Here is a 17,241-nt window from a genome sequence, read left to right on the forward strand (position 1 = left end):
ATATACTGTGGTCTTATAATAAAGTAAGATAGAAAAAAGAAAACGTTTAGAAAATCGTAAGCAAGAGAAAATATATCTACTATTCATTAAGTGAAAGTGGATTATCATAAAGGTCTTAATTCTTGCCATCTTCATGTTTAGTAGATTGAGAAGGAAGAAGAGCAGGGTGTGGTCTTGCTTTTTCAGGAGTGGGAGAGGTGGAAGAAAATCCATGTATAAGTGGACCTGCAGTTCAAACCTGTGTTTTTCAAGGGTCAACTATACTTAAATACAAAAAGTCTCTTCAATGTACTTCAACAAAATATATTACAATAAATTTATTAGCACTAGAAAAAGTCTCATCTGCTTTAAGGAAATATTACAAGATTTTGTAGCACTCTTTGTCAAGAAATTGTGAAAATTATTTGCTTGGAAACCTTTTTTTAAACTTTCCATCCTGCTGGCACACATGATTCCTTTTAAGTTGTGCACTGTGCTTCCCCCAAGTCCTTCCCAGTGGGAGCTTTAAGTATAAAACACCTCATTAGCCTCAGGGAACTCAGAAGGAGAGAAGAGTGCGAGGAAGGGAATTGAGAGAAAGAAGAAAAAAGCCAAGGAAGTCCAAACAGGACAGTGCACTAAGAACAAGAACAAGTCACACAAATACAAAGTTTTAACCCCTCTGTTCCATACATTGAAAGTTCCATTCATTTCTGGCCTTGAAATTTCCACTTGTCCTTGTGACTCCCTTTTAGAGATAAGGTAGGTGTGCATGTTAGATGTGTGTGTAAAGGGAGACTTGTGGATTAGTGTAGGCTTCCCCTAAAACAATTCTTAACCTTGGCCACACACTGGAATCAGTTGAGGATATTTTAAAAATACTGATAACTTTGTCCATCCTCAGAGATACTGATGTAATTGGTTGGGGCACAGCTTGGAAGATGGATTTTTAAAAGAGCTCCCTAGGTAATTCTAATGTGCAGTAAAGGTTGAGAACCACTTGCTTAGAGTTGAGGTTGTCTTAGTATGGTGCTTGGACCAGCAGCATCAGCATCACCAGGGAACCTCTTAGAAATGCAGATTTTCAGGCCCTACCCCAGACATACTGATTCAGAAACTCATACTGATTGTGATAAAACAATCAGTACTTTTTTCATACACCATCTGGGTGACCTGGATACACACTGAAGTTTGAGGACTACCTTAGAGGTTAGAGGTTCTCATTTTTTTTCATTCCCAATACACCTAAGGAATATAACACACTCCTATTAGTAACAGAGGCTCACTGTGCCCTGTTTGTGAAAGGTGGAGAAGGAATATGCCTGTTCCCATCCCATATCAGAATCCCCATTCCCATTCCCTACTGCAGAATTTACAATCACTGTTTTAGAGTATATGGCTTTTTAAATTATATGCATTATTTCCTTTAATTTCAGCACTCAAGTTTCATGCATCACTTCACTTCATCCTCACAATAATCTTGTGAGGTAGACACTATTATCATTGCCATTTTATAATTGAGAAAACTGAGGCACAGGAAAGAAAGTACCTTATCCAAGATCATACAGCTAGTAAGTGTAAGAGATCCATCGTCTCCTGTACTTTCTAAGTTGTTTCATCAGTTAGGTTCCTTCTCTCTTATTTTCTTAAATTTCTTCTTATTCGTTGATTTTCCCACTCATTCAGCCCTATCCACCTAACATTGCTAACATATATTGAAGACCTCCTTTGTATCAGGCCCCTCTATTGAGCATGTTACAGATATCAATGTATATAATGTTCACAGCAGTCCTATTAAGTAGATACTATTATTTTCCTCATTGTTCAGTTAAGGAACTTGGGGCACAGCAAAATCAAGCAACTTGCCTAAGCTTACACAGCTAGTAAGCGGCAGAGCTGAGATTTGAACCCAAGTGTATGAAGTCTGTGCCTGACTATTATGCCATACTACCTAATCTTAAGCTTACAAGCACATTTTTTCCCTTCTCTAAATCTTTCTTTGAACTCATTTAAATTACCACTCCCATTTATTTTGTGCAGTTTCCATTTAAACCATCACTGAAACTGTTCTTGCCAAAGTTACTTAATGATCTGTCATGTTCAGTGCTCTCTCTTTAGATCTTCAGCCTTCTTGCCTCTCTACTACATTCAAGGCTGTTATATCTGACCTAGTTTATTATAATAGCTCCTTTATTGTTCTCTCTGCCTCCAATCTGTATGTCCTTTGCTATGGGTTGAATTGTGTTCCCCAATATATGTTGGAGTCTTAATTCCTAGTTTTTCAGAATGTGACTATTTGGAGACAGGGTCTTTATAGAGGTAAAAATTTAAAATGATCTCATTTTATTTTTTTATGAGATCATTTTAACTTTATTAAATTAAGTGGGCCCCAATTCAATATGACTGGTGTCCTTATAAAACAGGGAAATTTGGATACAAAGACAGACTCACACATTGGGAATATGATGTGAAGAGACATGGAGAATACAACCATCTGCAACCCAAGGAGAGGCCTAGAACAGATTCTTCCTTCACAGCCCTCAGAAGGAACCAACCCTGCTGACACCTTGATTTCATACTTCTAGCCTCCAGAACTGTGGGACAATAAATTTCCATCGTTTAAACGAACCAGTTGGTGACACTTCGTCATAGCAGCCCTCGGAAATGAATACAGAGTAGAGGGGAAAGGTTATTCCAGGCAGGAAGAATCTTATTACCAGAGGCAAGTAATGGGCATTAACATAATGTGGGTTGGAGAAGAACAGGGTAGGGTTAGAGAAAGGGTGAGTTTAAGAGAACTTTTTCTTGTGGTGGTAATACATATGGGGTAAAAGCAGTGGCTGGAAAAACAGCAAGGTTAAAATTCTTTCTCCTAGTGTTTCAGGGAAATAGCTAAGTTTCAAAGAATATTATCTAGCTAATGCCTCCTAATGCTAAAATGGCCTATATTTTGTTCCTTAGAAAGCTGAACTTAGGAATAACTCTCTGAGCTGGGAACATTTTACTGGTCAGTGATGGCATGATACATATGTAATGGACAGAGAACATGGAAAGGGGTTCAGAGTACATTTTTACAAGAATAATAACTCAAATATGATCTGCAGCTTTGGTTTAATTAAATCTGGTCATATATATTAACCATTTCCACTTATGTAAGGCAGATGGCTTTTGAAATGGGGAAGCAGCATTCAGTTATTCATCCCATTTATTTGTTCAATATATATGCCATGAGAACCCTCTATGTAGTCAGCTCTGTGCTACAGCCTGGGTATACAAAAATCTGAGACCTCAGTCTTGCCCTGGAGCTCAGCTGGGAGACAGACAAAACTCTAGCTAACATCTAACATTTCTTGATTACTTAATATATGCCATGGACCATACTAAGAAAATTCACAATAGTTATGCTCACTTTTTAGATAAGGACACTGAGGGTTAGAGGAAAGTTGAGTCAACTTCAGGAGAGGAGTTTTGGCAAACTTGCCAAGTGAGAAAGTTATTAATATGAGCAAGTAAAATGTGGGTGATTTGTGGGGTTAGACGGTCAGAGAAGACTTGCTAGAGGAGATGATATTTGAGTCTTGAAGGATAAATAGGAGTTTTCAACATACACAAGTTGAGAAAGAAGGAGCATGGCAGATGGAAGGAACATTATGTATAAATCAATGGAGACACCAGAGATATGCTATGTTCAGGAAATAGTGTTTCATTATGGCTGACACATAAGTTGGTGGCAGGAAAAAAGACTGGAAAAGTAGGCACAACCCAGGAATCAACCATAAATAAGAGTCTCTTATTTTTTATAAGCACGATATGAGGAACACTATACCCGAAAGCTATTCTTTACTATTCAAAACATTAGAGATTGCATAAACAGCTGCTTTCAGTACTGTACACAGAAATTAGAGGGATTTTTTTCACTGAGGGTCAGTCAATGAAGACCAGAAAAATTACTGGGACCAGAAGGTAGACAGAAACCTTAGGACTCAAAAATCATTGTTGATCAGGGAGAAGGGATGAGACTGGTACTTTGTGGGAGTCTGGACTGGTAGAAATGATTACTAGTCAGAGTAGTCAAAGCAATAATAATAATTTTAATAATACAGCAATAAATGTACCAAGTACTACTCTAAGCATTGAATTTACTATATCCATTTGATAAATGGGGAAACTCCAGTACCCCAAACCTCTGACAATAGCTGTAAAGAAACTGGGAATACTCTGCTAATAATTTGTAGAATTTGAATTTGAACGCAGATAGTTTGGCTATACAATCTACATTTTTAATCATTATGAAATATTGAACTAACTAGTCAGTAAGACCAAAAAAGGAAATAGAATCAAAGTGAGTCAGTAACTGTGGGTCCTGTTAAGCAGTGTAATGCAATGTACAAATGGGTACATATGAAAAAGATAAAAATAGATGAAAGATCTAAGAAGTAACATGTAAGACAGATTTTGCTGACCGAGGTCACAACTCAAGGGTTCACAAGTCACATTCAGGCCACAGATGTACTTGCCTTGAGCCATGTTCTTTTCAAAATTTGAATTAATTGCCAGTGTGTAAAAGGCAGATGATTTCACATAAAATAAGCTCACAGTTTTCTTGAAAAACTTGAAATGTGTGGCATCACTGGGCCTATACTGCCTCATGGTGACACTTAACACAAGCTGAAGCAGCAGCTTCCCCTTTATACATGTTATTTATTCATTAATATCCTTTGGTTGCAAAGGGTGTAAACCAGCTGAAGCTAGCTTAAACACAAGAGCAATGTGACTGGATCTTAGGAGTGGACTGGGTTTTGGAAATGGGAAGTTGTCAGCAACCTAAGGTGATTTTCTTTCTATGTCTTATATATGCTTCCCTTGGCATATCTGCTTATTTCTTCTCTCTTAGCAAATTATATTACCTAGTGAGCAAGAGATAGCTCCCTCATCTCTCGAGTTTATAAGTTACAGTTCAGTCACATGAACAGGTACTGGTTCTGTTTGTTCCAATTCCCAAATCACAAGGAAGTGGACACTCACCGATTGACCAGGCTTGAGCCAGCTACTTATACCTAGATAAACCAGCTCTGATCAGGAAGCTAGGGTCATGTAATATAAGCTATTGGAACACCTTTGCTAATCAAAGAGGAGTTATAAGGTGGTCACTATGTACAGAGCAGATATTTCCAAATGTGTCCCCTGTACGAAATATTATTTTGGCCCTACCCACTTTGTAGTAACTTCTTGTGTTCTCTTGGAAGTTTCACTGCCCGTAGCCCTGGCCTACTTGATATGCTTGCCAGGCTACGTCCTGCTATTTTGAGAATATGTAGGGTTGACTGTGCTCCCAGTGGCCTAGTCCTTTCCTGTAGTGAATCTATTCCTACTACTGTATAAAGCAATTTGAGGCCAAAATTGCCATAATAGCCTTCTCCAATTTTCTTTTTGCACTTTGAAGTCCAAAGGGCTTCCTTCAGTGGCTTAAATTTATCTTATTAATCATCATAATGATCTAAAGGCTGGTGAGTGCATTCTCAAAGGGTAACAGGCATGGATGGAAAAGAGGGAAGTCATGGGGAGAGCAGCTGATACCAATGTGCCCAGGCCTAGAGAATTAGCAAGAGTTGCATTTATAAATGTAATGCCTGGGCTTTAGAACTACACATAGTGACAGTGATTAACTAACTGTGTTTCCCGTTTGTGGGTCCCCTTACTCCCAGGAACTTTCCAAGGTTTATGCTTCCCTGCTAAGGCTTTGGATACTTCTTGTATCAATGATTTTTTTTCAGTGACTTTAAAGTTCCCTTCCTGACACTCCTTACTGAAGTAGCAGTTGATATTTGAAGTTTTGCTCTCAGCAAAGTTTCCTTAGAGCTGTTGTCAGAGGTTGGCTTCCAGAGATTGCTAACCTTAGACAATGTTGAGAGAGAAGCTTCTTCTACCCTCCAAAATGCCAAAGTAAGCTGATCTGGCTGAAACTATCCACTTTCAAGATCTTGGGATAGATTTTTTCCAAAGGAATCCAATCTCCCTGCTCAAGTCTTGCTGCCTCCTCTGGAATCTGCTTTGCTTTTTATAAATAGAATAGAATTGTTCTGACTTCCTCAAGCTAAGAGTTGCTTATTTCCAGAGTGAGAGTCTACATTTTTCAAAGTGAAATGGGAAGAACCCAGAGCCAAAATGAAGCAACTTCCTAGGAAGAGTAATTTCACTTGGAGCATTTGGAATCTAGGCAAACATTGTTTTCTTTCCCTTTCCTCTTTGATAAAGTCAGTTCAAGTTCCAATAAAATGAATATGGGTTTCTTACTTTGGATCCCCTGTCTCCTTTATCCAATTCTTTAGTTGGCAGGTGAAGGCAGTATTTATCACAAATAGCAATAATAATTAACATTTATTGAGCAATTACTAAGTGCAAGACACTATTCTAAATTCTCGACAAGGCCTACATACTAAAATGGTCATGATGGTGTGTTAAAGTTATCCCGTTTTAATTCAAAATAAAGTCAGGAAATATCATCCTTATAAACTGTGTGGGTTTAAATAGAGAGTGACCTTGGGAATCTTAAATTTGTATTTCACACCCTGTCATCTACTCACTCTTCTGCTAGCAGGAAACAGTACACTCATATAGTGGAAAAAGTACTCAAGCAAAAGAGCTTTTTCTTGAGTATTCAAGGGTCAGAAGAGGGCTGGCTTCTGAGTGCCCAGAACTGTGTTAGCCCTGTATAAAGATTATTTTGTTGACTCTTCAGTACAATTCTATGAAATATTATTGCTCCGCCACCTTTTCTTTTAACAAATGAAGAAATATAGAATTAGAGAAGTTAACTAAATAACTTGCTTTCAGTCACACAGCTAGCATTTGTCGTCTGGGATCTCAACACAAAATTAACACCAGAGCCCTTGCCTTTAAGTACTAGATCATGCTGCTTTTAAACACATAAATTAGGAAGGGGACAGTCTCAAATGTCGCAACTCTCTTTTATAAGTATTCTTGTATTATTTAGTAATTCAACTTCTCACTATCTTTCCTTGAATGGAAATAAGATTAGAGAGATAACAGGAGCCCCAGAAAGTAAGTAGATAAAGGAAGTTGTTTCTACCTCTGGGTTCCCATAGCACTAGACTCAGCAGTCTAAGGATATCTTAATCATGATTGTCCCCAGTGCCTAGAACATAGAAGGAACCCAGTGAATACTTGTTGAGGGAATAAGTCAATCAATGAGTTTGGGGAAATTATCTACCTATCTTGAGACTTTCTGGCAGATTATACATCATTTTTCATGTTCCTGGTCAACTATATGTAGATCATGCATATAGGTACCCAGACAGAGATATACATGCTCATTCAGAAATTGCCATCCAATCCTGATACATGCAAACTCATAAAGATATATCTCCACACAAATGAATACTTGGCATATTTGTTTTCTGATGCTGTAAAATGTACCACAAAATGGGTGCCTTAAAACAGCAGAAATTTATTCTCTCACAGTTCTTGAGGCTAGAAATCTGAAATAAAAAATAAAAGTATTGGCAAGGCCATGCTCCATCGAAAACCTCTAGAAAGAATCCTTCCTGGTCTCTTTCAGCTTCTGGTAAGTCCAGATATTCCTTGGCTTGTGGCAGTATAACTCTAATTTCTGTCTCTCTCTTCACATGGCTATGTCTGTGTGTATATGAGCGTGTCCGTGTGTGTGTGTGTGTGTGTGTCTTCACTTGTCACTTTCCTCTTCTTTATAAGGACACCAGTCATAATGAATTAGGGCCACCTTAATGATTTCATCTTGATTACATTTGCAAAGACTTTATTTTCAAATAATGTCACATTCACAAGTACTGATGGCTAGGACTTCAACATATCATTTTAAAGGTCACATTACCACCCAAAATGGTCTTCCTTTGGCCCTCCAAAATTTATGCCCTTCCCATGGGCAAAACACATTCACTCTATCACAACATCTCCAAAAGTTCTAACCCATTCCGGCATCAATTCTAAGTCTTAAAAATCTCACCTAAATTTAATCAACTCAAAGAGTCCCAAAACTCATCTTCTACTTCATCTGCGTAAGGAAGGATGAGACTCAGGGTGTGGTCCATCCTGGGGCAAAATTTCTCTCTTCTGTGGACCTGTGAAACCTAGAAAAAAAGTTAGCTGCTCCCAAAATACAATGGAGTTTTCAGATTAAGAGGGTGGATAGAAGGCATGACTAGCTTGCAGCTCCTGGTCAGACTGATAGAGCAGTGTGTGGAGACTCACTTCGTGAACTTTTGCTCCCAAGAACTACCACAGGAACACACCAGGAAAGCCAAGAAAATCCAGAGATCCTTTGAAGGAACTGGATTACCGCTGCAAACTCCTGAGACACTGAAAAACTGTGAGCCTGCTTGCTCTCTCAACAGGGAGGTTCGTGGTCTGGGGCGAGTTCTCAGCCCTGGTCACCGGCTGCCTCGAAATAGACTCAGTGATGTTGGCGGGGGCATGGGGGAAGTGAAACCCGCTTTTAGGATTGCAGGCTGTGTGAGAGCTGGGTGAGGCCTGTGACTGCCAGGTGTCCCGCACTTCCCTGGCTACCTGTATGACTCAGCAGAAGCAGCCATAATCCCCCGGGAATATAACACCATTAGACAGGGAACCACACCCCAGCCCCTACAGCAGCCACAGCAAGCCCGGCCCAAGGATAGGCTGAGCTCAGACATGCCTATCTCTGCCCCCACCTGGTGGTCTTTCTCTACCTGCTAGCTGAAGGCAAAGGTCATAATATTTTGGGAGCTCTGTGGCCCTGCCTGCTGCCTGAGAAACCTGAATACTTAACCAGGTGTCTCTAGGGCAAGTTTGCCTCCTCCCTATAGGACTGCAGCTATTGCACTCTTGAAAGCACCACTTCCTGGCTGGAGGCCAACCAACACAAAACCAGCCCACTAAACAAAAACACAACCAAGGACCTGCACCAAGTCCACTTCACTTCCCTGCTACCTCCACCAGAGCAGATGCTGGTATCCACGGCTACAAGACCTGAAGATGAATCATATCACAGGAGTCTTTGCAGAAACTCCCCAGTACCAGCTCAGAGCATGGTAGCTCCCCCGGGTGGCTAGACCTAGAAGAGCAAAAACAATTACTACAGTTCCTCTGTACTGTAGGAAGCCCCATTCCTAGGGGAAGGGGGAAAACACCACATCAAGGGAGCACCCCGTGGGACAAAATAATCTGATCAACAGCCCTTGAATTCCAGATCTTCCCTCTGACATGGTCTACCCAAATGAGAAGGATACAAAAAAAACAATTCTGGTAATATGACAAAACAAGGATCTTTAACATACCCAAAATATCCTGCCAGCTCACCAGCAATGGATCCAAACCATGACGAAATCTTTGAACTGCGAGAAAAAGAATTCAGAATGTCTGTCATTAAGCTAATCAAGGAGGCAATAGAAAAAGGTGAAGTCCAACTTAAGTAAATCAAAAACATGATACAGGATAGGAAAGGAAAATTCTTCAGTGAAATACATAGCATAAATAAAAAACAATCACAGCTTCTGGAAATCAAGGACACACTTAGAGAAATGCAAAATGCAGTGGAAAATCTCAGCAATAAAATCAAACAAGCAGAAAGAACTTCAGAGCTCGAAGACAAGACTTTTGAATTAACCCAGTCCATCAAAGACAAAGAAAAAAGAATTTTAAAAAATGAACAAAGCCTCCAAGAAGTTTGGGACTATGTTAAATATCCAAACCTAAGAATAATTGGTGTTCCTGATGATGAAGAGAAATATAAAAGTTTGAAAAACATATTTGAGGGAATAATCAAAGAAAACTTACTCGGCCATGCTAGACATCTAAACTTAAAAGTAAAACCCCAAACTATAAAATTCCTAGTAGAAGAGAATCAAGGCAATACCGTTCAGAACATAGACACAGGCAACCATTTCATGATGAAGCCGCCAAAAGCAATTGCAACAAAAGCAAAAATTGAGAAATGGGATCTAATTAAAGAGCTTCTGCACAGAAAAAGTAACTATAATCAGAATGAACAGACAACCTACAGAACTGGAGAAAATACTTTCAAACTATGCATCTGACAAAGGTCTAATATTCAGCATATACAAGGAACTTAAATTTATAAGAAAAAATCCCATTAATTCATCTTGAGTCAATTTTTGTATCAGGTGTAAGGAAGGGGTCCAGTTTTAATTTTCTGCATGTGGCTAGCCAGTTTTCCCAGCATCATTAATTTAATAGGGAATCCTTTCCCAGTTGCTTGTTTTTGCCAGGTTTGTCGAAGATAAGATGGTTGTAGATGTGTGACCTTATTTCTGAGATCTCTATTATGTTCCATTGATCTATGTATCTGTTTTTGTATGGGTACCATGCTGTTTTGGTTACTATCGGCTGTAGTATTGTTTGCAGTCAGGTAGCATGATGCCTCCAGCTTTGTTCTAAAACCCAAAATTATAAAAACTCTAGAAGAAAATCTAGGCAATACCATTCAGGGCATAGGCATGGGCAAAGATTTCATGACAAAAACATCAAAAGCAATGCTACGAAAGCAAAAATTGACAAATGGGATCTAATTAAACTAAAGAGCTTCTGTACAGCAAAAGAAACTCTCATCAGAGTGAAGAGACAACCTACAGAATAGGAGAAAATTTTTGCAATCTATCCTTCAGACAAGGTTCTAATATCCAGAATCTATAAGGAATTTAAACAAATGTACAAGAATAAAAAAACCCCATTATAAAGTGGGTAAAGGACATGAATAGACACTTCTCAAAAGAAGACATTTATGTGGCCAACATACATATCAAAAACAAACTCAACATCATTCATCATTGGAGAAATACAAATCAAAATCACAATGAGATAACATCTCATGCCAGTCAGAATGATGATTATTAAAAAGTCAAGAAACAACAGATGCTGGCAAAGCTGTGGAGAAATAGGAATGCTTTTACACTGTTGGTGGGAATGTAAATTAGTTCAACCATTGTGGAAGACAGTGTGGCAATTCCTCAAAGACCTAGCAGCAGAAATACCATTTGACTCAGCAATCCCATTACTGGGTATATACCCAAAGAAATATAAATCACTGTATTGTAAAAATACATGCATACGTATGTTCATTGCAGCACTATTCACAATAGCAAAGACATGGAATCAACCGAAATATCCATCAGTGATAGACTGGATAAAGAAATATGCTACATTACACAATGGAATACTATGCAGCCATAAAAAGGAATGAGATCTTGTCCTTTGTAGGACATGGATGGAGCTGGAAGCCATTATCCTCAGCAAACTAACACAGGAACGGAAAACCAAACACTGCGTGTTCTCACTTATAATGGGAGGTGAACAATGAAAATGCATGGATACAGGGAGGGGAACAACACACGCTGGGACCTGTCAGGGGGACAGCAGGGGGAGGGAGAGCATCAAGATAAATAGCTAATGCATGTGGGGCTTAATACCTATGTGATGGGTTGATAGGTGCAGCAAACCACTATGGAACACTTTTACCTATGTAACAAACCTGCACGTCCTGCACACATATCCTGGAACTTAAAATAAAATCGAAAGAAAGAAAAAATCCCATTAAAAAATGGGCAAAGGCCATGAATAGACACTTCTCAAAAGAGGATATACATGTGGCCAACAAACATATGAAAAAAAGCTCAATATCACTCTGATCATTAGAGAAATGGAAATCGAAACCACAGTGAGATACCATCTCACACCAGTCAGGATGCCTATTATTAAAAAGTCCAGAAACAACAGATGCTGGTGAGATTTTAGAGAAAATGAAACTCTTTTGCACTGTTGGTGGGAGTGGAAATTAGTTCAACCATTGTGGAAGACAGTGTGGCGATTCCTCAAAGATGTAGAGGCAGAAATACTATTTGACTTAGCAATCCCATTACTGAGTATATACCCAGAGAAATAGAAATCATTATTTTATAAAGATATATGTATGCATATGTTCATTGCAGCACTATTCACAATAGCAAAGACATGGAATCAACCCAAATGCCCATCAATGATAGACTGGATAAAGAAAATGTGGTACATATACACCATGGAATACTATGCAGCTATAAAAAGAGATAAGATCACGTCCTTTGCAGGGACATGGATGGAGTTGGAAGCCATTATCCTCAGCGAGTTAACACAGAAAAAGAAAATCAAATACCACATGTTATCACTTATAAGTGGGAGCTGAATGATGAAAACACCTGGACACATGGGTGGGGGGTGGGGAATAACACACACTAAGGGCTGTCAGAAGGTGAGGGGTGGGAGGAGGGAGACCATCCAGAAGAATATTGAATGAATCCTGGGCTTAATACCTAGGTGATAGGATGGTCTGTGCAGCAAGCCATCATGGCACACATTTACCTACGTAAGAAGCCTGCATGTCCTGCACATGTACCTCTGAACTTAAAATAAATGTTGGAAATTAAAAAAAAAACTAACTAAAGGAAACAAGAAATTATTCTTCCTGCGTTTTTCTCATCTCTGTCTTTTTCAGCCCAGACTGGCAGTGTTTCTGTTGGTATAAAATTCTCATAAACCTCATTCACAGTTACCGAGGGTTAATACTTCAACATATCTTTTGGTGGGTCACAATTTAACCCATAACACTTAAAGATCCACGTGTGTGTGTGTGTGTGTGTGTGTGTGTGTGTGTGTGTGTATATCTGTATATACACATATATATTTGTGTGTATGTATATATATATATCTGTACATCATAGAACATTCATGTATAGTGTGCAAATGGGTTTGGATTCAGCAAATACTTATGGTCTCATCTAAAAGCCCTTCTTGATGTTCCTTAATCATGCTAAACACATGCCTGCCACAAGACTTTTGCCTTCACTTATACTCTAACACTCTTCCCTTTACCCCAGATATTTTCATGGCTTACTCCCTGTCTTCATTCAGATTTCTATTCAAATATTGTCTCTTCAGAGAAGCCTTCCTTGACGGTTCTATACAAAATAATTCAGCCCCACGCACCCCTAACATTTTTTTTTGAGACGAGTCTCGCTCTGTCGCCCAGGCTGGAGTGCAGTGGCGCGATCTCAGCTCACTGCAAGCTCCGCCTCCCAGGTTCACGCCATTCTCCTGCCTCAGCCTCCCGAGTAGCTAAGACTACAGGTGCCCACCACCACACCTGGCTAATTTATTTTTATTTTTATTTTTTAGTAGAGACCGGGTTTCACTATGTTAGGCAGGATGGTCTCGATTTCCTGACCTCCTGATCTGCCCGCCTCAGCCTCCAAAAGTGCTGGGATTACAGGCTTGAGCCACTGCGCCCGGCCCTGACATTCTTAATTAATCTTTATTGCGTGTTTCATTTTTTTTCTTAAATGTGACAGTTTATGACCATTATGTATTTATTTTGTTTATTGCCTATTTCCCCTTATTGGAATGTAAGGTTCATGAAGGCTTGGATTTTTGTTTGTTATTGTTTGATGCATTTTTTTCCCAGAGCATAAAATAGTGCATGGCACATGTTAGGCAGTCAATATTTCTTCATGCAATGAATGAACATAGAGGAAGAGGGCTTTTATAGAGCATCTACTTAATGCCAGAGACTTTATTATTACTTCATTTGATACTCAAATACCTGGGGATTTTGTAACACAAACAGGAAGAATCGGGTGAAAGCACATGTGAAAATCAGTGTCAGCAAATTTCCTAGTGGAACAAAGTGACTGAAGTCTCTCCTATTATTATGTGGAGGATTGGTGGTTTCGTGGTGGTTTTTTTTTTGTTTTGTTTTGTTTTTTGCTTTTTTTTTTTTTTTTTTTTTTTTGTGAGGGAGCCTCGCTCTGTCTCCCAGGCTGGAGCTCAGTGGCGCCATCTCTGCTCATTGCAACCTCCGCCTCCCGGGTTCAATTGATTCTCCTGCCTCAGCCTCACTAGTAGCTGGGATTACAGGCATCTGCCACCACGCCCAGCTAATTTTTTTTTTTTTTTTTTAGTATAGATGGGGTTTCCCCATGTTGGCCAGGCTGGTCTCAAACTGCTGACCTCAGGTGATCCGCCTGCTTCAGCCTCCCAAAGTGTTGGGATTGCAGGCGTGAGCCACCACACCCGGCCTGGTGGTTTCATTTTTTTTTTTTTTTTTTTTTTAGCAACTTTTGTACTCCAAGTGTTCTACCGTAAATAAACTATGGTCCCTGCCATCAAGGAGCTAACAGTTTAGTTCGGAAAGGAGGTAACATTTCACTTGTTTTTGAAAGAAGCCTATGTATTAACCAGACAAAAGGGTAAGGGGGCAATACATGTAAGGGTGCAAATGCATGAAAGGCCATGGATTTCTGTCACTACACACGCATGCACACACACACACACGCACACACACACTACATATTATACTGTCTTAACTAGGAGCAGCAGCAACAATACCATCTGTTGCATTTACTACATGCCAGGCACCATGCCAAGCACTAGGGTAAGGGATGAATATGGCTTGATCTGTGCTGTAAACATATTTATGATCCAATTCGGTGGGTGAGGCCCATAAAGAAATAGGTATACAAGGCAATGAAGAATGCCCAACATGAAGGGAAGATACCTGGTGCTCCAGGAATCCAGATTTAAAACCAATTAGAGTGGACAAGATGGTTGGAAAAGACCTCAAGGAGGTGGAAAGGCTTGAGCTACATTTTTGAAGATGAAATTTTATCAAGGGCAGAAAGGAGAGATTGGCAATTTTTGTGGGGATAAGGGATGGTCCAAAGTCAGCCTGCTAGACTATAAGTTCCATGAAGACAGGAAATATGTCTGCCTTTTAAAAACATTTTTAAATTCTTGTGGGTACATAGTAGGTGTGTATATTTATGGGGTACATGAGATATTTTGGTACAGACATGCAATACGTAATAATCACATCATGGAAAATTGGGTATTCATCCTATCAAGCATTATCCTTTGTGTTATAAACAGTCCAATTATACTCCTTTAGTTATTTTAGCACCATATTCTTGGTGCCTAGTACATGGTCTGACACTTAGTAGAAAGTTGATAATATTTGTGGTCATGATGTGTAACCTCTGAGTAGACAAGTTTGGATGAAGCACAGATTCTGCTGTGTGAGTAGTTAGAGATAAGGATAAGCTGTAAAAAGTATTTTGCATACCTGTGACACTGATGCCCTTTAGGATGCCCCCTATTCAAATCCTATGATTCTGAGGAAACTTTAGAGGAAAGCCGTAGGCACTAGGGAGCTGAGCCAAGATTGTCCTTGTAAATCTATAACATCTCCCTGTCTTTCCATACATCTCCCTGTCTTTCCATGCTTCCTATCTGTGTATTTACAGATAGGAATTGGGCTGCTTAATTATAAAGTACTCTCCATGTTTCTAAAATTGCAAAAATGCTTTATTTATTCAGAGTCAATTTTTAGTAGACTTCCTGATTACACTAGTCTGTGTATTTACTCACGCACTCAATTTCCCACTTGCCATTCATTCTCTTACATATTTACTTTCGTATTTGTTGGGAATATGATAATTTACTTTGCATATGGGGGCTAACACTTGGGATCAGGCCCTAGGGTATTTTAAAACTAAAATATACTGTATGATACCTTTAAAAAATATCCTTAGCCTGCTGTTAATGTAGTCAGGAAGTCTACTAAAACTTGACTCTGAATAAATACAGCATTTTTGCAATTTTAGGAACATGGAGTGTACTTTATAATTAAGCAGCCCAATTTTTTTTTGTAACTCAAGGGCTAAAGAGACTAGATATTTAATTAATCAAATTTGAATTATAGTTCAGTTGAAGCTTCCAAAGCCAGATCACATGCTCAGACATACCGATAGACAACCCTAAAAAAAAAGTGAGTTGTAGGAAGTGGAATAAAATTTCCTACAGAGAAAGGAGGTCTGTAGAAGTGCCAGTGCAAAATTATGAATAAACTGAAGTACAAAGCAGACAGTAGGACAAATAGAATGAAAGTACAAATTATGGAGTCTAACCAACACTCCCTGAATATAAAAGTGATCAGAAAGAGGTTTTAGAATCCAGTGGAAATATTTTCTTGGGTTAGAAAACAATTATACCTATACTCTTATGTGATAACTGTAGATTTCTCAGTTTTGGCATTATTGATGTTTTAAGCAAGATAATTTTTTCCTCTGGAGGGCTATCTTGTCCATTGTAAGATGTTTAGCAGTATCCCTGGCCTCTACCCACTATATGCCAGTAGCAACTCCTCCGTTGTGACAATGAAAAATCCAAATCTCTCTGTCCTCTCTTTCTCTTCTATCATGCATAGTGCTGCGATGAGTGTCTTGTATGTGTTTCTTTCTCCTTATGCACATATGTGAGAGTTTTTCTAGGGCAGAAATCTAGAAGCAGACTTGAGACATGGTATATACATATTTTCAACTTTACCAGGGTTGGCTCTTTAGTGTAGATGTTACAATTTGGGGTTCAACCCCCCATTCCTCACCTCAGCCATCAGCATCGTAGTTGCTGTTTCCCTGTATCTACTGTTATTTGGAATTATCAGATGTCAGACCTATTAATTTTCCAGTCTAGGGATTATAAAATGGTAATGCATAGCTTTAATTCATATTTCCTTTCTAAAAGATTGTGGATCATTTCAAAGGTTGATTGGTCATTCAGATTTTCTTTTCTTTGAAAGATCTGTTCATTCATTTGCCTTTTTATAGTTATTTTTGTTTTTTATCTTATTGATTTGGAATTTTTAATATATTTTGTATACTATTTGTTGATTATGTGTGTTGTAAATATTTTCCCCAGCCTGTGGATTGTCTATACTAAGAAAAGTTGCAGAGGATACAACAGAGTTTCTATATATATCTTTCACCCAGTTTTCCTAACTATGATACATTTGTCAAAACTAAACAGTGAACATTGATATGATACAATACTGCTAACTGAACTACATATTTTGAGTTTTCTCAATATTTTCATTAATGCCTTTTTTACTCTTTTGGAATCCAATACAGAATACAGACTGTATTTAGTCTTCATGTCTCCTTAGTCTCCTCTGCTCTGTGACAGTTTTGCGATCTTTTATGACCTCGACATTTTTGAATGTTAGTGCTCTGATATTTTGAAGAATGTAAATTGACTGAGTCTGATTATAGTTAGACTGACATTATGGATTTTGGGTGAGAATACCACAGAGGTGAGGTGTCCTTCTCATCATGTCATATTAGGGGGTACATGATATTTACATGACTTTTTACTGGAGATGTTAACATTGACCATTTGGTTAAGATTGTC

The 17,241-nt window shown here is 38.8% G+C and overlaps 1 protein-coding gene across 2 annotated transcripts in view, besides 2 other annotated features; it reads left to right on the top strand.

Annotated features, from left to right (window-relative positions):
• The window catches only part of KLF8 (KLF transcription factor 8), a 383,409-nt gene that overhangs the window by 2,962 nt on the left and 363,206 nt on the right, over window positions 1–17,241 (top strand). The window lies entirely within an intron of this gene.
• Window positions 7,907–9,106: an enhancer, noted in NCBI's record as "CDK7 strongly-dependent group 2 enhancer chrX:55945424-55946623 (GRCh37/hg19 assembly coordinates)". NCBI's record gives its function as "activates an origin of replication core promoter dependent on BRD2, BRD4, P300/CBP, MED14 and CDK7 cofactors, with strong dependence on CDK7, by STARR-seq in HCT116 cells {active_cell/tissue: HCT116}" and the evidence as "EXISTENCE:reporter gene assay evidence [ECO:0000049][PMID:35650434]".
• Window positions 8,558–8,807: an enhancer, noted in NCBI's record as "active region_29685". NCBI's record gives its function as "activates an Ori minimal core promoter by ATAC-STARR-seq in GM12878 lymphoblastoid cells {active_cell/tissue: GM12878}" and the evidence as "EXISTENCE:reporter gene assay evidence [ECO:0000049][PMID:35858748]".

This window comes from Homo sapiens, chromosome X, assembly GCF_000001405.40.
Source record: "Homo sapiens chromosome X, GRCh38.p14 Primary Assembly".
NCBI classification, from domain to species: Eukaryota; Metazoa; Chordata; class Mammalia; order Primates; family Hominidae; genus Homo; species Homo sapiens.